The sequence below is a fragment of the Homo sapiens genome, chromosome 3 (genome assembly GCF_000001405.40).
Source record: "Homo sapiens chromosome 3, GRCh38.p14 Primary Assembly".
NCBI classification, from domain to species: domain Eukaryota; kingdom Metazoa; phylum Chordata; class Mammalia; order Primates; family Hominidae; genus Homo; species Homo sapiens.
The window spans coordinates 98535818-98557902 of record NC_000003.12 but is presented as its reverse complement, the minus strand read 5'-3'; the positions used below and the strand labels follow the sequence as shown (position 1 = coordinate 98557902).

At 36.8% G+C, this 22085-nt stretch overlaps 5 annotated features.

The window, feature by feature from the left end:
- Window positions 921-2120: an enhancer, noted in NCBI's record as "P300/CBP strongly-dependent group 1 enhancer chr3:98274627-98275826 (GRCh37/hg19 assembly coordinates)". NCBI's record gives its function as "activates an origin of replication core promoter dependent on BRD2, BRD4, P300/CBP, MED14 and CDK7 cofactors, with strong dependence on P300/CBP, by STARR-seq in HCT116 cells {active_cell/tissue: HCT116}" and the evidence as "EXISTENCE:reporter gene assay evidence [ECO:0000049][PMID:35650434]".
- Window positions 1340-1419: an enhancer, noted in NCBI's record as "active region_20140". NCBI's record gives its function as "activates an Ori minimal core promoter by ATAC-STARR-seq in GM12878 lymphoblastoid cells {active_cell/tissue: GM12878}" and the evidence as "EXISTENCE:reporter gene assay evidence [ECO:0000049][PMID:35858748]".
- Window positions 1550-1869: an enhancer, noted in NCBI's record as "active region_20139". NCBI's record gives its function as "activates an Ori minimal core promoter by ATAC-STARR-seq in GM12878 lymphoblastoid cells {active_cell/tissue: GM12878}" and the evidence as "EXISTENCE:reporter gene assay evidence [ECO:0000049][PMID:35858748]".
- Window positions 5748-5797: an enhancer, noted in NCBI's record as "active region_20138". NCBI's record gives its function as "activates an Ori minimal core promoter by ATAC-STARR-seq in GM12878 lymphoblastoid cells {active_cell/tissue: GM12878}" and the evidence as "EXISTENCE:reporter gene assay evidence [ECO:0000049][PMID:35858748]".
- Window positions 11680-11729: a silencer, noted in NCBI's record as "silent region_14558". NCBI's record gives its function as "represses an Ori minimal core promoter by ATAC-STARR-seq in GM12878 lymphoblastoid cells {active_cell/tissue: GM12878}" and the evidence as "EXISTENCE:reporter gene assay evidence [ECO:0000049][PMID:35858748]".

The following is a 22085-nucleotide window of genomic DNA, read 5'->3' as shown; positions in this document are numbered from 1 at the left end:
GGTTGTGGGGAGTAGGGGGGATTAATAGGTGGCACACAAAGGATTTTTAGGGCAGTGAAACTACTCTGTATGATACTGTAATGGTGGATGTATGTCATTACGCATTTGTCCCAATCCATAGAATATACAACACCAGGAGTGAGCCCTAATGTAAACTAACAACTTTGGGTTATTACAATGTGTCACAAAAAAACCTCATCTCATATCCTTTGTCATATTAAGGTGCAAATAACTGATGAAAAATTCAAGTGCTACAAGGAAGCTGTGTAGCTGACAGGCTAAAGCTCCAGTTCAGCTTGCAAGTGGGTGTGAGAGTCTACGGCAGCTCACAACCTTCCCATGAATCATAAGAGGATGGGAGTGGAGATGAGAGGTGAGAGGCAAAACTGAAAGAGGAGAGGATTTGATTTGAAGGCACAAGATTTGGGTTCTGGTGGTGGCTCTATCACTTCCTGGATGAGTGATCTTGAGAATTCCCTGAAACTCGTTTTTCTCACCTGAGTAACAAGCTTAAGAATAGCACATTCTATCTGTGCTTTAATGAGGATAAATTGAGATAATATATGAGGACATGCTTCACTAATTGTAGTTATACAAAAATGCTGGTTATTGGTCACAAAAAAGGCAGATGTGCTTTTGAAACATTCAGACTACGGTTTGACAATGGGGCCAGTCTGCCTGTATTCCATCATTTTTACTCTCCTTTTCTATTAACTCCATGTGTCCACTTTCTCATCCTAAAATTGGAATAAAAATATTTACTCTCCTGGTTGCTTAAAGGATTGAAATAGAAATGCATGTAAAGTAGAAAAGTATCTGTCTCTCCCCGTCTCTACTCCAGTAAGTGATCAACCAAAGTTGTTGCAATTTCCTTCCAAAATCCACAGGCAATGACATTAATCTGTGTTATGCTCAATCAAAAGGCATGCCCCAGTGACCCAGAAAAGAAGAAACCTGTGACATTCCCATTATTTCCCACAGGGCACTGATCACTTTCTACTTCTCCTAGCTCACCGTGTCCATCACTCATTCCTCAACCCTTTGGGTGGGAATGAGGCATTTGCCCCTACCAGTCTATTAAAATTGCACCTAAATTTACCTTAGAGGAAGTAAATTATAAAGAGCTCTTTGGACTGTTAAAAGTGAAGTGATGTATTTAGAAAGCGAGAGAATTTAAAAATACAGAACCATGATCAATTCTGTTTTAACTTGCAGTATATAGTTGAGAGCATGGTGTACAGGTGGGAACTGGAAAAACTGATTATTTGTTACAGTTGTTATATTTCTGAAAAAGGTGTTTATTCTTGTTTTCTTCACATCTGTTTCCAGTTGCCACTTGTCTTCTTGGGTGGAAATAACTTCTTTTCTATGAACTGGCAGAGTTTCTCTGGGTGTGGGGAGGTTCTGAACTTTGCGTGAGAGTGCTCTCCTTAGTTCAGTAATGAGATCAGTCACCAAGTCACCCCTTTGCTCTCTGGTGATGGCTGCCACCTCTTGCTTTCATGAGAAATGATAAAGCAAATGAGTCAGTGCCTAGGACCCTTCAAGAATGGCACGCGATGCTCAGCTAACCTCAAACCTTAGCTCTAGCTAAGGAGGTTTCAAAAAAAAGCCTTTGAGAAACTCTCCTTCCAGAAATACAGGCATGCATCTGGCTTCCTTCTCTTTTTCTCTATTGGCCTTTTATTTGGCGTTCTGGATTTCATTTAACTTTTTAAAAACACTGAAGTATGATTTTTAGTTTGAATAAAAAAGCAGTGATGTAGTAACCTGTGATCTTCCCCTTTAAGGTAAGATTCTGCAAAATTTTATGAAAAGACAATGTAGTTTTGCATAGTAGATGAGGGCAGAAATGTTTACTTTCCTAATTACCAGTTACCTCCTGGTCAACAAGTACAATCTGAGATCTTTTTGCTTACGTAGCGCTGTCAATTTCCTTTTTTCACCTGAGATAATCTTTTGTTTCGATAACTGTTTTCATAACCCATGCCGTGTTTTTTCCTCTGTTGTTTTTCTTTTTCTTTTTCTTTCTTTTTTTTTTTTTCAGACGGAGTTTCGCTTTTGTTGCCCAGGCTGGAGTGCAATGGCGCCATCTCGGCTCACCGCAACCTCCGCCTCCTGGGTTCAAGCGATTCCCCTGCCTCAGCCTCCCGAGTAGCTGGGGTTACAGGCATGTGCCGCCATGCCCTGCTAATTTTGTATTTTTAGTAGAGACGGGGTTTCTCCATGTTTGTCAGGCTGATCTCAAACTCTCGACCTTAGGTGATCCGCCCGCTTCAGCCTCCCAAAGTGCTGGGATTACAGGCGTGAGTCACCACGCCTGGCCCCGTTTTTCTATTTTTTAAACTACAGTAATTCTCTTTGATTTAAATATTTGTAAAGATATGTACAATAAAACTATTCTTAAATCATAGGGGAAAACAAAATATGGAGCAATAGAGCAATTCTAAATGAAATGCAAGCCTAAACTACTTTTTTAACAAGCTTTGTAAATAATCACTTGTTTGCAAAGGAGGTGGTGATTCATGTGAGAGGAGTAGAAAGAAAGATTTTGGTCCCTTTGAAATTTTATTATTGTTCTTCTAAGTACATCGTCTAGAAAGAAAGCAAACCAATAGCGTTTTGGAATTGTTTAGTCACTAATTGTATTCCATGAGCATTCTTTCTGGTTCACTGGAATTCAGTGTATAAGTCTGGGGACAAAGTGAAGCTCTGAAGTTATGAGCTTTGGACAGCAGGATGGCGAATTAAGGTGGTGGAAAAGGAAACTTTGATGTTGGAGAAACTGGTGTAGCTCAGAACGTAGAACAGAAAAAGCCAACTATTTGGCCAAAGTATCCATCTTTTAAAGAGATACAGTTTTAATCAAGTGAACAGGTAGGACTTCAGTCTGGGTGTTTATTTTTGTCTATTTATACAAATTCTTTATCACTCAGATCAAAGAGTTTGCATTAGGTAGTATTATGTTTCTATATTTTCTTAAATCAATATACACAATGAATTGTTATTAGATCATAAGAAATGCCAAACTGGATCAGATTTACAATTCATCCACCCAAATCCTACCTGTTTTAGACCAATCCAGGGATATTATGTATGGCGACCTGGTGGTTACTCTCCAGACAATTTTTAAAGTCTAGGATGAGCCTATATACAATGCCTAAAACAGTATCTGGCAAGTGTTTGGCTTGGTAATGGTTGATGTTTGTTGAACAAATGAGTGAAAGATAAAAATCTACCATCATGCAATTATCTACATTCTCCTGAAGCTAATCTTTTGTGTTATGTATCGTGTATGACAAGTCTTTTGTTCTAAGTGTATTACATTGTCTTTTTTCCCTTTTTTCTTTCCTTTCGTTAAAGTGTATTTACATTGTCTTAAAAATTACTTATCTTAAGCATCAAGAGAGTTCTTTTCCAACTTTAGTGTTACAGAATTTGATTTGATTAGTCTTAAAGCATTAGACAAGGAGGGAATGATGTACCCCCTCATTTGATGTGCTCCCCACCCCAGTTGAACCCCAGTCTTACTTGGAAGTGGAAGGATTCTGGCTCAGGTTGTAAACAGTAAACCATAAGAAGACAAACTGTTTTGCAGAGTATTTTTAGTAAGTAGCCTGGCCTACCTAAAGGATAAATGTTAATTAGTTATGATTTCTACTTAACATATGGAATGTTACAAGATTAACAGGAGCAGATAAGAAAGAGAAGCATAATTGATTAGTAATGCTGGTAAAAGGTTAATTACAGGGAATGATCTATTTCTATGAGGTAATGATTTATTACATAGATCCTAACAAAGCTTTTATAGTATATATTAATAGCACTTTGAAAGGCCTGAAGGGACTAAAAGAGGAAGGACACAGAAGCTACTTCCTTTGGCCAACAGAGAATTTGTTGACAGAGAAACTCACTACCATATTTTACAATTTCCAGGAACTGGAAGCAGTTGATTAGCCACATCTGTTGTGAGTATGGGTGTGAAGTGAGGAAGTACTTTGCCATATATTCGCTAGTCCAGTACTTTGCCATATACATATATTTCCTAAACCTTGCAGGAATTTGGCTTATTCTTTTGGGTAAAAATGCAATTAAGAGAAAAGATCTAACTGAAGTTTTTAAATGAAGAAATATACTGGACAGCGCAGGACACACGAGAAGGTCCTCAGATGAAACAACTCTATGCTAAGGCTATGAAAGTTTGACTCCAGTGGCCTTCTGAAACAATGCTGGGAATTTAAGATAGGGCTCTAGAGCTTACTTCCTTCCAGTTTAAATCTAGGAATTTGGTCCATGAGTTAATTTTATTCACACTGAGTGTATCCAAAGAAAAATAAGTTTTTCCTGTATTTCATTAGAAAGAATAACAAGTAGCAAACTTTCAGAACGTTTTTTTCCCCAGTACCTTAATCTCAGGTAGAGGAGCATATTTAAGGAGTCATTTTAGATTAAGATTGTACTCACACCTAACCCACATCAGAAAGTCAGTGTTGTTTTGCATGTGCATTGCCGGAAGAATTTTCTGCCTCTGGCTTCTCCTCAGTGAGGATACACTTTCAACGAACTGTAAGCATTAAGAGAATTGCTTTGGAAAGTACTTCAACTAGCAAGAACTGGGATGACTTCAAAATGTCTTTTACTGGCTTCACGGGTACTTATTTTGGCACTTTCCCTGTGGGGCCGCTTCAAGTTGGAAGCCTTCTCTAGAGAAATGTGGAGAGGGCAGCACACTGTCTTCTTTCAGGGGCTTAGAACAGCTCTTTCTTCTTCTTTTTGGACATAGATAAAAGTTTTGTTGTTACAAACCCCAGGCTACCGCACTATGCCTTGTGATCCCCTTTGGAAAGCACCCTTTGATTAATTTTGGCAAGCTGTCTGTTTCCTCCTGGGATCCTGATACATCACCTAATACCACGAAAGAATATGAGGCACTTTTAGTGTAATCTAAGAGTTTTGTACAATTAGAGAGAGAGAGAGCGAGAGAGAGAGAGATTCCATTTCCATTAATGGATTACCTGACTTGAGATAGGCTTTGGACTCAAACTTGGTGAAACTCACCCAATAGTTTCATAGACAGTTATTTTGGATAAACAGAAATTGTCCCTTCTCTTCTTAAAGCTTGAAACTTACATTTGTTTTATCTGTGTTTCTTTCTGAGGATAGGACCCCTAGCCCTCTCAAAAAGTATGAAAGAACTGAAACTCACCAGATCATAGCATCCAGACACTGAGACTCAGGGCCCCTCATTCATCATGATTGCACCCTTATCCCTCCCAGGTTCCTGTTTTTCCGTACATAGTTACACTTCTTTCCTGCTATATAAAGTCCTAATTTTAGTCAGTCAGGGAGATGAATATGAGACTGACCTCCCATCTCCTAGGCTATAGCACTTGATTAAAATCTTCTTCCTTGGCAATAACCATTATCTCAGTGATTGACTTTCTGTGCTGTGAGCAGCAGGACCTAGACCAAACCCTTGGTGTTTCAGTAACACTGGCAGAGCATGGACTATGGAAAGTGGCCCAGGTACAGTGAGAGACGCCAAGGTCTCTGCTTGCCCAGTGAGATCCACTGCCTGGGAATGGCTTGGTCTGTTGTAGTTACAAATCTTACTTCTCTATTTCCAAGTAGGATCATTTAATTCTGCCACATTTTCCTTAGGAAGCTACCACGAAAACTTTCTACCTTCGTCAGTGTCACTCTCCTTTCAGTGAAGGTTCTTTTAATTCTTAGAATTAACCTAAGGTATAAGACTGTTGCAGCATCCATGTCCTACTCCCTGAAGAATTTAGAATCAAAGTCATCTGTTTTTCAGGTTGGAGGGGTCATTTGAAACTACGTAGTTCAACTTCCTCCTTTCACACCTAAGAAACTGAGGTCTTTGTAGCCGGATGAGGAAGCCTCTCACCTAAACTTCATAGTTAGAGGTTATTATAGGTCCCAGATCCCATGAAAGCCATACTCCTGTTTTACCCAGTCTAATCTTTCTATTCAGGGACCTTGGACTTGACACGTGGCACTACTTAGATAAGAAGCCTGAGGAGCAAAGGCCTCTGTGGAGGAGTTTTGTAGAATGAGATGGGAGATTAGAAGAATACAATAAAGGGAAATGTTTTTAACTCCTGCAGGAATTTTTTCAAGGTATGGTTTGAGGACTGTGGTTTCACCAGGAATCTTACAATAATCCAGTCCCCTAAAATTCCTGCCATTATTTTGTTATAGGGAGGATATTTTCGGCAAATAGGAGTAGAGGTCATGCATGAGACAGCCAGTCTAGGAAGGCAGTTCAGCTCTCCTTCAGGTTTGCTTTAGTCATGCTATATTAAAAGTTGTGAGAATTTTCCCAGAAAAGAAAGCTATATAACAGAATGTTAAAATTGAAATTTCAACAAGGCATAAAGATAAAATAAATGCAAAAATCTCAAGTAAGTTGTTGCTAAGTCACTATATGCAGATGGTACAAGCATAATATCTGGGAATGGATTCCAAACTCTTGGATCCCGTCAGAGAATAAAGAGAGGGTTTTTGTGAGCTTTCCTTAAAAGTGACTAGTAGCTGTGCTATGGGGCCTCAGCTTTTTCCACTTGGGAAAGTTACTGTCTCCTACACCAAGCCCAGCAAGCTGGGAGGGGCTTCCGTGGGACTACTCTTAAAGAGCTTAAGTGTGTTTGCAGTATGCCAGAGCACTCTAGACAAGTTGATTCTCTCCTGAAAAGTCTAAATACAAAAGTTGGTTCATTAGGACTTTGATGGTCAGGCCAGGAATTCGCTGTTGCGTGGGGACAAAGATGCTTTGGCAATGTTGCATGGGGGCAAAGATGATCAGGCCAGGAATCCACTTTGCATGGGGGCAAAGATGCTTCATTGTTGCCTGTGAACCAAGGGTTGGTGATGGGGGGTAGTAACTGGTGTATAGTCCCTCTGCTGGTGGACCAGAGGCTAAAGAGGGGTGGGCATCCTGGGGAATGAGGAGTATCACTTAAGTCTTGAGAGTTGATGTTGGAGATGTCTCCTATGATGGGATGTTCAAAGAACCCATAAAATTGGCTCAACTGCATAACCTTCGCTATCTGCCATGCCCAAAGAACAGGAAGTTGCTCAACAAACCAAATCCCCCTACCTTTCCTCTCTGCCTCACCTAAGGTTATCAGAAAGAATATAAGGCTCAGTTAGATTTGAATTTCAGATGGACAAATAATCTTTGGGACATACTTATACTAAAAAATCATTTACTATTCATTTAAATTCAAATTTAACTAGGCATCTTGTATTTCTATTGACTAAATCTGGTAACCTTACCCCCACTCCACCTTTCTTTGAGCAGCTGGTGAGTAGGTGAATAGTGAGAGGAAGGAAAGAACGAAATTGACACTGTGTTTTATGCTTCAAAGCTCTTCCCAAAGAGTAAGAAGAAAAGTCAATGGACCTGCCAAATTCTTCAGGCAAGGGCAGAAGAAGAGTGCCCTAATGAATAAATTTTAAAAGGTTAGAATGGGAATAATAAATAAAAATTATGTTTTGCGTATACCACAAATCTTTGTTAAATAATCCAGGTCTGTCTGTCTAACTCTGTTTATTGAGCTGTTCCTCTTCAGGACCATAATTATTAATTTCTCTTGGAATTAGTACTTTTCAGAACATATTTAGGGAAATTTTACCTTATCATATAACTAAAGGATTGTATTAGAGAATCTTGGCAAAGCTTTGGTGGGGAACTAGTTTATAAGGTAAGTCCTTTAGGATTTCAGGTAAAAGAAAATTCAACTCAAACAGGCTTAAATAACAAAAGAAGTGTACAGGTTCAGTTACTTGGAAGGCTCAGGTGTAGGCTGGTTAATCTAGAAGCTCAGTCATGCCAACAAGGACTCCATTTTTATGTTTTGTTTTGTTTCATTTTGCTTAGTTTTGACTTTGTCTTTTCTTTTTACAGTCAACCATGTAAACTTTATTCTAAGTCTGGCTCTCTTGTTTCATAGGGTGGCTTCAATAGGGCACAGAGAAAGAGAGAGCAATGCTGTCTTGGCATTCCAAACAGCCTGGTTGGTTGGTCACATGCCCACCTTATAGTGAAGTCTATCAAGGCTTTGCCAGGAGGCTAAGAGTGGGTTCAACTTTTACAAAAACACAAGAGCTGCATGAGAAAGACCAGATAGATGACTGCCTAGGCATAAGAGTCCTGAATTATTTTGAGAAAAATGAAAGCATGAGAATGGATGCTGGGTCAACTGTCAAGTTTCCACCACCGTTGATTATTTAAATTTCTGCCATTGACTGCATGCAGGGGAGATACCAAAAACTATTTATCTGTCTGCATGTTTATGCAATCAACCAATCTGAAAGGACCTGGCTTTCAGTGGAGAAGCCTGGCTCCCAAGGGTCTCTTGTTTGCAAGGTGTTAACTCCTTAGTTGCTATATTGAAGTGTCCAAAAGCTACTAGGGAAGGTGACAGAAGACCATGATAGAGTGGGGCACTCAGAGGACACAGGGCAGTGGCAATTTACCAACTGAAGCAGAAATATATCAATATATTTTAACAACCTTTATACTTGTACCCATGTGTGCCAGCTGAATTTTTTTTTAAAACCACAATGTGATTTTGCTTCTGAATAGACTCTCCATTTCTCTTAGTTTTCTCATTTTAAAAATGAGTGGATTGGATTAGATGATTTTAAGAATTCCTCTGAAAACAATGTTTGTGTTGTAGTCTATAACAATTTATATAAATGACCCTTTAATTCTATCATGTACATTGTGATATGTTTCAAATAGAATATCGTAAGCAGTTGTTACACATTTTAAAATGCAGAGAACCAAATTTCCATTTGAAATTTGGCACGTTAAATTTAACTGAATTTAAATTTAACTGGATCTGCATGCTGAAATTTTCAAATAGATTGTTTTTAAGACCATGAGGGATTTCTTGTTGTTTCTCATTTTCTGTGTTTTGCTTGTAAAATGTGAGAAAAAGACAACCAACTTAACACCTTAAAAACCACTAATGTTGTTTTGACCTTAACGAGAACTCAGGAGGCACAAAAACAGAATTGGCTAAAGGAAAATTAGAGTTAAGATGGAAGCCATTCATTCGCCTAAGGATGGTTCAGTGGCTGAAGTCATTCATTTCCGGCAGCTGCCGTTGGCCAGGTTACCCAAGGATGGAGAGAGAGGAAGGGAGTAGTAGACACAGGTCATTCCCACTTCCCCACCCCGACAGGTTCAAATGCCCTCACAGGTATGGGTTTTTCTCCAGGGTTTCACCTGCTACTATAACACTTCCTGAGAAGTCTACCCAATCTCTTAGGTTTTTACCTGGCTTGTCATCTTAGATACAAAAACCTCAGAGGACAAATTTTTTTACTAAAATAAATGGGAAATCAGCGACAATGATGATGCTGTTTCCTCCCTCCCTCCCCTTTCTTTGTCCTCCTTTACCCATCTCGCCCAAATCAGTTGATCGTCCCAGAGGGCAGGGTTGCAGGCACTAAAATTATAGGCAAGAGGAAAGAGTAATATAGATTATCTTTTTCTGCAGAGACGTGAGTGTTTGTAGTATTCTGAATTTTTGGTCTGTCCGATGGAGCATTTCAAGCATTTGCAGATCTAGACTTGTGGATTTTTCTGAACAAGTTGCCAGAGCTATCAAAATTAAGAAAAGCTCTTGACCTTTGAAGAGAGAACTTCTTGTCTAAAGCTAGCATTTTCTCCTATCTTCAGAGCAAAACCGGTGGCTAAGTAGATCCCTAAGTCCCCCTCCTTCTCTTTATATATAATTTTTGATATAGTTGTATGTATATACACATCTACATTAATCAACTCAGATGAAAAACTTTACTAAGAGAAACTTCTAAGGGAAAAGAGCCACAGGTATAGGGATGAATGATCTTATCTTTCTAAATGTGTTTTCTCTTATAGCACTGGATATAGATAAAATGCGTTCATAATGCTTTTTACAAAAATAGTTCTGAAATATAATTTATAAAGTTTGTTGCCCAGAGGCTAAAATAAATTTATTAGTCACAGATGAGTGCTGTGGTTCTAATAGGTCTGCATATGTGGGTAAGTATATATCATGCCTAATGTATGTTATATAGAGTTTATATACATTCCTCCAACAACAGCTTGATAAACATTGTCTCCGCAATTAAATTAAATTATCTTTAAATCAAAATTCATTTTTGAATATTTATAGATCTGTCTCAGTGCATACAGGGCCAAAAAAGAATATAAAATAAAAACAAACATTACTTGTAAGACCGACATAAGTCGCCTCACTTACTGAGTTTTCAATAACCCCAAGTTAAATAATGTTATTTTCATTTTACAGATAAGAAAACTGAAGGAGAAAAATGTTAATAACTTGTCGAAGGTCTCACAGACTTTGCTAGTGGTAGGCTGTTATGGTTTCAAACTCAGTTTTTCTAATTTTAAAGCCTTTATGTTTTCCACTCTATCACACTATCATATTGTATATTTTTTTACTTTACCCTCCTTTTTTTTTCTTAGTAAGGGGAACTAGCTATGTTGCCCAGGCTGATCTTGAACTCCTAGCTCATGCAATCCTCCTGCTTTCAGCCTCCCTAGTAACTGGGACTACAGACACGCCACTGTACCCAGCTCATTATTATTATTATTATCGTTATCATTATTATTATCGAGATGGAGTTTCACTCTTGTCGCCCAGGCTGCAATGCAATGGTGTGATCTTGGCTCACTGCAACCTCTGCCTCCCGGTTTCAAGCGATTCTCCTGCCTCAGCCTCCCTAGTAGCTGTGATTACAGGTGCCAGCCACCACACCTGGCTCATTTTTGTATTTTTTTTTTTTTTTATTAGAGACGGGGTTTCGCCATGTTGGCCAGGCTGGTCTCAAACTCCTGACCTCAGGTGATCCGCCTGCCTCAGCCTCCCAAAGTGCTGGGATTACAGGTGTGAGCCACCGTGGCCGGCCCCAGCTCATTATTTTTAAGGCATTCCTCATTGTAATTTTCCAGGGAAATAGGAAAAAAAGTTTGGAAATAGTGGAAAACTCAATAACTTTAAACTAGTGTTTATTTAAAAAATAAACACTAGTAATAGTAATGATATTAGTCATATTTATAGTATTAAAAATTACTACCTATACAGCCTAAGAAGTCATTGAGGATTATTTTATAAAGCCAGTTAACCAAGAGACACATTAGGGGCACATTTTTACAATTCTCTACTTTGCTTAATATATGACTTTAGTAGCATGAAAATGTAGAAAACACTTATCATTCCGTTGTATAGTATGCTATGTCTTTGCCATACTTGAAAGCATTTCTCAAAAAGATGTTTGAACCTTCAGAAAATTTATATTCTCTCAGAAAAAAAAATTGTTCTATATATGTTAGCTCAGGTTTGCACAGAAGACCCCAAAATGGGATTAGGCAAGAATTGGGGAAGGGAGCTAGAAGACATGGGAGAACCCTCAGACTGAGGTCTGATTTGCATGGGGAGAAAAAAGGAAAGGGAGGAGAACTGGGTACCCAGATTGTTTTTCACAAGTTGTTTTGTGAATTCAATTGAGATAATATATGTGAATGATTTAACAGTTCCCGGGTGCTAAATAAATACTCCATAAACATAGGTTTTGTTTTTAATTTCAATTTTTAGAAATCATTGCAATGAGAATTGTAGATACTCGGTGCAAGTCATCTGCCCTGTGCATTTTTCTTGTAACAAAGCTGTACCGTTATAATGGAAAATTGATGTCAGACTAGTGGTTCTCCTTCCTTGACTGCTTAGTGAGCAATCTTCAGACATCCTTGAAGCTAGAAAACTTTCTAGGTAAACCCGAGGGAAAGCGAAAGCACTCAGAGTCAACATTTTCTTCTTATGTCTGCTTAAATACAAATTTTATTCTAGAAATATTTTACTTTAAAAATCTTTGTAGTTTTATAAAATATCATGCTCTTTGCAAATATTTTAGAATAGAACATTTGGAAAAAACAGTAAAACTCAAAGTATTATTCTGTCCAACCAATTCTAATTTACACTTAATTTAAAAGTTGAAATATTTTAAAATAAAATAGAAGTTGTGTCTACATAAACAAATTAAATTGACCTTTGATTTAACAGACAAGTCAATTTAGTAAAAGTAAAATTGAAGCTTTGAATCAAAACAATGATTTGCTGTTTGATATGAGAACAAATATTATTTGATTGAGCTTTAATTTACATCATTTTTTCAGAACTTAAATTATATCAAAGTCATGGATGTTAAACTTAAAATTGGACATGACATTTAAAAATTCTTATTTTGACTTTGAAGGAAAAGGCAAAACTTGTACATATTATTGTAATATAATAAATATACAAAATAAATATTATATTTATATTTTATATAATAGATAAATATATAATAAAATAATATTTGTTTTATGTGATGCATGACATTTATTTCAGCATCCTTTATTTTAACATTTTAAAAAAGTACATACTCATTATAGAACATGTAAAATATTCAGAAAAATATGAAGAAAAACAAATTAAGGATAAAAATAAATTTGCCCTTGGTTCTACTACCTAGAACAGCCATTGTTAACATTTTAATATATTTCCTAAATAAAGTAAGCTGGGATAATTACTCCTTAATGTTAAAAATAAATGTTAGGATTAATACTCTGGTATCATGTTCTTTTATTCAAAATTATGTTTAATTTTTCTCTTTGGTTGTGGGTCAATGATTATTAACTCATTATTTTACCTCATAACATCCTTAACTTCTCTTAAAAGTGATACACAGAAAATGTTGTTTCTTACTTAAAGAAACTTTAAATCAAGTTTCTATGTTTGGGGCAGTTTATAATATACTACATAGAGAAACCCTTATCTCTTAAAACTACAATTGGGAGTTGCTATTAAAACGAGGAAATTATTAACACAAATGTGCCTTCCAAAAGTGTAAATGAAGTTCCCGAAAGACAAGGGCATTGTCTACCAAATTTCTTCTGCACGTGGCCCAAGGCAACTCATTGTCTTAACAAGTAACATTTAATAAAGAAGATGGTAAAAGTTTAAATTCCTAATGTCAGTTTAGGTTCCATATGTCACAGGCACAAAATCTAGAGCGTGAGATTTGGGATTACATTTACTTTTCTTTCTTTGTCGCCATAGATATATAAGAAATCTGTGACCAGAAAAATTTTAAGGGATAGAGAAAATGAGATAATAGAATTTAGTACATATCTACCATTTTTTTGGTTTTAATTTTTTTGAGACGGGCTGTTGCTCTGCTGCCCAGGCTGGAGTGCAGTGACACAATCTTGGCTAACTGCAGCCTTCGCCTCCCAGGTTCAAGCCATATCTACTCTTTCTAAAAAACATTTTCTGGTGAAGGACACTGTCATAGGTGTCATAGCATTTGTGCTTTAGTGTGGACTTGGGTGTTACATTGAGCAAAATAGATAACTGTCCATTTCCTATGTGCAACATACTTTTGAATCAATTACAGGCTTCAAGTGGCCATCAGTAGGATAGAAAATGCCATTTGTGATAGATCACAATTAAGAGATTATATAACAGAAAAGAAAACATGTTACAGTTTTTAGAAAAAGTTATATTTTTAATAAAATGGACTTCCTCTTCCCTCAAGAAACATCTTTTTTTAGTATTAATTGTGAATAGGCAAAGGATTTGTTTATTTGAGATATTTGCTTTGGAAAAAATAAGAAAAATAATTTGAGTGAAAATTATTGCAATTAGGCAAAGGTAGTGGGGAGAGAGAGAAAGAGAAAATCTGGGAATCAGGAAAGAATACAGTGAAGTGGAAAGGCCATGAGCTTTGCGATTACGTAGGTCTGAGCTTAACTGAAATTGGGGTTTCATTTCTGGTTCATTACATTAATAATTATGTGAAACGATTCCTCTGAGGGCTATTTTCTTCATCTATAAAATGGGAATGTTTCCTCAACTATCATTTATTAAACTCTTAGTATGTACCAGGTAATTTTCTGAATTCCTTACATTTTCATCTTAATTAATTAGAGGTACTACTGTTTTCTAAAGCAAGTATAATTGTTCCTATTTTATAGAGAGAAATCAGGCTCAGGAAAGTTATGAAACTTGCTCATCTTCCATAGCTAATAAATGGCAAATTCAGTTCTGTCAGTGTTCTTTAACCACAATGCTATCTTACCCTCCCAATGGTAACAGTTAAGTCATAACAAAAATTATAAATTGATGATTTAAACATTTTATATCATGATAGTTGAGATAACTCTGTTCTTTTTAGGAAGTGCCAGCAATGGAAAATTAGTCAGAATAGCATTTTGACATCTGTCTTATTTCATTTTCTGCTGCTATAACAGAATATCACAGATTAGGTAATTTATAAACCAAAGAAGTTTGTTTGGCTCATGGTTCTGGAAGCTGGGAAATCCAAGAGCATGGTGCTGGTATCTGCTGAGGGTCATCCCATGACTGAAGAGCAGAAGGTGGAAGGGCAAAAGAAAGGGAAACAGACAGCCAAAGTCCCATGATAACTAACCTATTCCCATAATAATGGCCTTAATTCATTCATAGGGTGGAGCCCCGACCCAATCACCTCCTAAAGGTCCCACCTCTCAACACTGTCACAGTGGCAATTAAATTTCAACATGAGTTTTGGCAGGGACACTTAAACCACAGCACTTCATCCCTGTTGCCCCAAAATTCATCTTATTCTTATGTGCAAAATACATTCATTCCATCTTGATAGCCCTCAAAGTCTTAACTCATTCTGGCATCAACTCAAAAGTCTCATCTAAATCAGACACTCAACCTACAATTTATCTTGAGGCTAATACTCTCCAGCTGTGAGCCTGTGAAATGAAAACAAGTAATCTACTTCCACGATACAATGGTGAGATCCGACACAATGGTGAGATAGGCATAGAATAGACATTTCCATTCCAAAAGAGAGAAGCAGGAAAGAAGGGGTAACTGGTCCCAAGCAAGTCCAAAACCCTTCAGGGAAAGCAACATTAAGTCTTAAATTTAGAGAATAGTCTCCTTTGGCTCCATGTCCTGCATCCGGGGCACACTGAGGTGGGAGTTGGGCTCCCAAGGCCTCTGACAGCCCTGTCCCTATGACTTTGCTGGGCTCAGTCCATGCTTTAGCTGTCCCAAGCTGGAGTTTCACACTGGTATCCTATAGTTCTGTAATCTTGGGGGTCACTACACTTCCACAGCTCCACCAGGCATTACACTTTGAAACCTAAATGGAGGCAGTCATGCCTCACAGCTCTTGCATTCTTCATGCTTACAGACTAAATACCACACGGGCATTGCCAAAGCTTATGGCGTGTACCTTCTGGAGCAGTGGGGCTGAGCCAAAACAGAGCAACAGCCTTTATAGAAGTTATCTTCTGATCAATTGTTTGACTTCATAATCCCACTCTCAGTCTCTCTCAAAAGTGCATAGTCACATAAGTTACTTATTATCTAATGTGGAATATAGGTTTGGAGTTTGTGGAAAGATTTATAATACCCTGGCAATAGCCGGTGGAACTCCTGACTATCACACAGTGATTAGAAATCACTATTTTTGGTCCAATACTAGGCATATTGGACCTGAATTCAGAAAAGTTTTCCATTTAAATAGAAAATCAATGTTACACCAAGAAAGGGCTGAAGTAAAGGATATTGCATCAGTTATTTCTCTACTCAAGTACAGCTGGAATGATCAAAAAAGTTAAAGGACAGTGGCAAGATTGCTCCTGATGACTGTAATAGACTCCCTGTCCCTCATAGTTACAGCATATCATAAACAAAAGACATTCAAGCAAAAGTATGAATATAAAAATTTAATATTTAACATTTTAAATGTTTTTCATTTTTATTTTAATCAATGGTGAGATTTTTCTAGCATGTTCAGTTTAGTTCAACAATGATGAGTGCTTGATATGGAAGAAGCCAAGCATATGGCTACAAAAAATGAAGATGTGGCTTCTTCTCTTCCCCCATCCCCAGGGTGGAGGGAGCTCTCTTCCTACCTGGTGGACAGACATGGCACCAGATGAGTCACTATGCAGGATGCAATAGTTGCTGTGCTAAGAGACATTATGGGAGAATAAAGGTCCTGCCTGCATGCTGAAATGTTCATCACCATTTTCAAATTTTAAATGCATAGCAGTTCTAAAACTGTTGCTTTTAAGGAATTGGGTACTTGTAAAGGAAACAGCGGGTCATCCTAGAAAGAAACAGATGATTACTAGGGGAGGTCTCAAGGCCAATGTAGGGATTATACTCACAGATCAGAAACACAGTAATTGAAAAACTAGAGGACCTACAACTCAGAAATGATGTTTTATAATAAATTTAGCTACTATTTTTATCTTGGGTACTTCATTGAAAGCCTAAACTAAATTTTAGCTTTTTTTATTACTACAAAATTAATGCATTTTTTTTTGGAAAATACAAGTAATAATAAATATAAAAATCACTTGTAACTTCACAAAGTTAACATTTTGCTGTATAGGGTTCCAGTATTTTTGCATTCATATATGAATAAAATAGTCACAAATAATGTGGTCATCCTATAGATATAGTTTTGTAGTCTGCTTTTTTCACTTAATTTCATTGGATTTATTATTAAGGTCTTTCCACTTCAGTATATGGTACAGTATTTTTAAAGGCTGCATAGTATTCCATTGTAAGAAAGTGCATGAATTTTAATTTACTCAGTCAATTTGGACATTTGGATTGTTTTCACTTTCCTGCTTTTATGAACAATGCTGCAATAAAAATACATGTGCATATGTCTTTTCACCTGGCCGTAATGATTTTTTAGGGCAAAATCTTGGAAGTGGAATTGCTTTTGATATAGGTTTCTAAATTTTTTCTACAAAGCTTAATCAATTTACACTCAATAAGCTTCCCTCACACCCGCAGACCCAATCCTGGTCAACCTTAGTATTTAATGTTTCACTCTTTGTCAGTTTAATAGGTAAAACCATATTTTGTTTTTTTTAATATTATGTATCATGCTAAATATAAATTTACAAACTTTTTGGCAGTATTCTTTTCTATGTTTGAATTATTATAGGAAAGACACATTGATTTGAAATCCTGAGGACTAAGTTATACAGTTCTGAATTGACTTTTACTCAATTCTTTACTGATTTTCCGATTTTTAAGCTATTTCTATTAACATACACAAGTCAGGTCTGAATTGCATAAACATCTTTTTTATTAGAAATAAGGTAGCCATTCTCATCTATCTTCAAGTGCTCTGAATCTGTATTTTTGCTTTAAACATGAAACCACAGGCCAAGTTTCGTTTCTCATTTACCACTTCTCCACCTGAGTTGTCAGTTTTGCTTTTGCTCTAACTCAAGGCCAAATGAAAGGGCATCTCATTAAATCACTGTGCTGGGCAAGGTTCATGTAAAGTTATCTACTTTGCTTTGCATACTTTTTTTTAGTTTGTCATTTGGAAATAAATTTAAACCTAATACTGTTCAAGATGTGTTCTTGTGTTTAAAATAATGAGTCTATACGTTTAAAGTCTTAAAGATTTTTAAGACTCGAGAGTCTTAACATCTATAAAGACAATGATAGCATTTTCATTTGAGGATGCTAATGTGAACACTTTAAGGAAATGTAACAATGTTTAGGAAATAACCATATCAAAATGACAATTACATAAGTGACTTGTATATGGACTAAGTATGGGCTTCTCCTAAACATTGGAAAAGACCAAGGAAAGTTATTTGACTTGTAATTTTCATTGCATATACCGGGCTCTTCTTGGGTGTCACTATTTCATTCTTTGATTAAAAAAAATAAACAACTATGTGGATTCTAAACTCCATGAAAAACAAGTTCTGCTTCTACCTTTTTAACTCCTATAGAGTCGAATAAAGTGATATACATATATCACTATATATATTTATTGTGAACAAATACAAATATATATATATATATATTTGTTCAACCTTTTTTTTTTTTTTGAGATGGAATTTCGCTCTTGTTGCCCAGGCTGGAGTGCGATGGTGTGATCTCAGCTCACTGCAACCTCCACCTCCCGGCTTCAAGCAATTCTCCTGCCTCAGCCTCCCGAGTAGCTGGGATTACAGGCATTTGGCACCATGCCCAGCTAATTTTGTATTTTTAGTAGAGACAGGGGGTTTCTCCTTGTTGGTCAGGCTGATCTGGAACTCGTGGCCTCAGGTGATCCACCTGCCTTGGCCTCCCAAAATGCTGGGATTATAGGCGTGAGCCATCACGCCCCGCCTCAACTTTTTTTTTTTTTTTTTTTACGTAGAGATGGGGTCTCACTATGTTGACCAGGCTGGTCTCAAACTCTTAGCCTCGAGTGATCCTCCCATCTCGGCCTCCCAAAGTACTGGGATTACAGGCCTGAGCCACTATGTCCAGCCATGTTCAACTCTTTAGTAGAAATTTCAATCCATTTATATGCTTTTTGTAATTGCTGATATATTTATGCATACATATGCCATTTTATTTTGTGTTCTTTATTTACTATGCTTTTTCTTTGCTTTATTTTCTCCTTTCTTGTATTCTGTATTTTGTTAGTGGATAAAATAGTTAAATTCATCTCAAGTACTTCAGTCTGAATATTAACAGCAACATTCAACAGATGCTTTTCAGCTGCAACTGTATACAGTATGTTTGTGTGTTTGTGTATGTGTATAAGAGAAAGAAAGAGGCTGGGTGCAGTGGCTCATGCCTGTAATCCCAGAACTTTGGGAGGCCAAGGTGGGCGGATCACTTGAGGTCAGGAGTTTGAGACCAGCCTGGCCAAAATGGTGAAACTCCATATCTGCTAAAAATACCAAAAAAAAAAAAAAAAAAAAAGGAGCCTAGCATAGTGGCGCATGCCTGTAATCCAGCTACTCGGGAGGCTGAGGCAGGAGAATCACTTGAATCCTGGAGGCGGAGGTTGCAGTGAGTCAAGATCGTGCCTCTGCACTCCAACCTGGATGACAGAATGAGTGAGACTCCATCTCAAAAAAAAAAAAAAAAAAAAAAAAAGAGAAAAAAGATATTTTGTGAATGTGTAACTGCAATATGCCTGTTTTAGAATCCACCAGTTACAATAAAAAGATTTAACAATTTTTATGGTTGTCATAGTGTATTGTGTACGATAGACATTTTGCATTCACAGTTTGATGTTTGAGATTTTGACTGAAACTCCACAGTTGTATGACATAAAAAGCAGACATTTAAACCACTGACCTATGAGGTGATGCGGAATGAGTCACTTAACTAGTGAGTCAGGCCAAACACTTAGGATAGATATCTCCTTTCAACTTTTCTTTTTATACATTTTGCAATAGCTCTGAAAACATTACATTTTATTCAATTTGTATGAAGTAGATTATATGCTATATTGGAGTTGGCAAATTTAGGGATTTGTGAAGGTTTTACAATGGATGGTTATGAAATACAAAGGGTCTATATATACTCTGTAAGGAAAAGAGCAGTATTGCTTGCTGAAGACTTTGCCACAGATTTTTTTAAATTAAAAATAAAGTCTCCAGTCATATGTAATTTTTGATGCATAAAATTTTAATTTCTGAATAAACATCACAATAGTAGTTTATATCTCCTGTTTTGTATATAATTAAGAGCAAACAAAAGAGTGCATTTATAGTATACAGGTCACAAATATGCTAGGCAGGAGCACTTTTTTGTTTTATTTTGAGCTAATAGAAACACAGAAATAAAATATTTTAAATCAGAATTGATAGGGCCGGGCGCGGTGGCTCAAGCCTGTAATCCCAGCACTTTGGGAGGCCGAGGCGGGCGGATCACAAGGTCAGGAGATTGAGATCATCCTGGCTAACACGGTGAAACCCCGTCTCTACTAAAAATACGAAAAAAAATTAGCCGGGCGTGGTGGCGGGCTCCTGTAGCCCCAGCTGCTCGGGAGGCTGAGGCAGGAGAATGGCGTGAACCTGGGAGGCGGAGCTTGCAGGGAGCCGAGATCGCGCCACTGCACTCCAGCCTGGGCGACAGAGCAAGACTCCGTCTCAAAAAAAAAAAAAAAAAAAAAAAAGAATTGATAGGACCTAGCAAGTAAAAATGCTAAATTTCCTATCAATGTTGACAAACATGAGATACTCATAGATGATGTTTAACTCTCTCTAACATGGAAGTGTTAGAAAACTAGTTAATTATTACATATATTTAATTAGCAAATAAGAAAAATCACCGAATAATATCAAATTGATGAACATCTTTTACTAGGTTGGCAGATAATTTTAATAATAATGTGAATATTTTATCGTAGATCCTTAAGCATATGCAGCTAACTCAGAAAGTTTCATTGTGATTTGAAAGTACCTTTGGATCTTAGAAATTTGGTGCTTATGTATATAAACCAGAAATTTTTTAGTTTAATAATGTCTGCTCAACTAGCAGAATACTTTCCCCCTACTTTTAGATGAACAATGAACATTTTATGTAAATTTACATTTCACTACCATTTACCTTGTCATAAGAACCTTTATGAATAGTTTGATACTTTGGATATTTAAAGTAGGGTTTTTTTTGTTTTGGATTTTGTTTTTAATGCTGTAGGTTTATCTTAGGATGCAATTTGCACTTGTCATATATGTTTAGGAAATATAGCTCTATTAAGGAAATGACAAAGATAGCAAGAACCAATGAGTGTAACTCGCCCTAGGGTGGATTTTTACATTTGCAATATAAAATCAAGTCAGTGGCACAGTTGTTTTTCCCTGTACACTTATACGTAAAGTCTAGTCGTAATCGTTTACTTCTAAAATTGATAAAAACAAAGAATATTGGCTCAAAAAAAAAAGCTTTAAATAATAACCGGCATTTGCAGGGGAAAATCCAATCAACATCAAACTCCGTGAAAGACAAAAGGAACTCGCAGTAGTCAGTAACTGTTCGCAAATATTTTGGTAGTTAAAATTACCCTCTTGCTTTTTCTCCTATGGCACCTCTTTCTCTAATGGGGCTGGAGCCATTATCTTGCTGGCAGGTTACACCAATGGTCTGGTTTTAGAAGCAAATTTGTAATTCTTTTAGTTTTGCTCAGCTTTTATGAATGAGCTCTGCAGGAAAACAGGTTCTTTGTGGCATGCACATATGACAAGTCATTTCTCTCTTCTGAGATCGCTAGGTAGAATAGAGAGTGATTTGAGGAGTCAAGATGAATCACAGAGGAAGATTTTTTTCCACTCACCTTACCACCATACTGTGCATTTATGCATCTATTTAAAAATTAACTTGTGACCCCTAGTAATGGTCGGTTCTCAGTCACGCACATAGCTTCCCTTTAAGACTGCTGTTAAAACTTTTCACTACAGAAGTGATTTTGACTTGTTAAGAGTGGACAGGTTAAGGGACTCCCAGGAATATCAGGTTAGTTTCAACCTTTCAATACAACCCAAATGGAGTAAATGTGTTTGGGACTATGTTTGCGACTATGCGTGTCTTGATTACATTTCTTTTAAAATTAATTATAAAGTATCAGACAACACATTACCTAGGATTTAATGGAGAGCTTTTCTGGGGTAAGTTTCAAAAAGCTATTTGAGAAATGCTTGAGAGGTCACTATCCTTTTATATTTGTCATTTACATCCTCCGAGTAACTTTGGACTACTTATGCAAATGACAACAAATAATGTTAATCTGTAGTGATTTCCTTGTGTATTACTCTGAATTGTAAAAATTTTATTTTGTTTTCCTAACTTTGGATATAACTGGCAAGGCATGATTGTGTTAGGATGAAAGAGTAATTTTCTGGAAATTCTTGGCAATGTATTGATTTGTTCTTTAATGACATTAAATTATCACAAACTAGCCTTTAGGCTAGTTTAATTCAGGTAATAAAAATAATGAAAAGGTATAAATATGAGTCTGTGATTCTATGTATATCTGAATGTATATGTATATGTAGAATATCTACGTAAGTATAGAAATAGAAATTGTTCAAATTAAAAATGAAGAAATTTTATTATTATTATTATTATTATTTTTGAGACAGAGTCTAGCACTGTCACCTGGGCTGGAGTGCAATGGTGCAATCTTGGCTCACTGCAACCTCCATTTCCTGGGTTCAAGCGATTCTCTTGCCTCAGCCT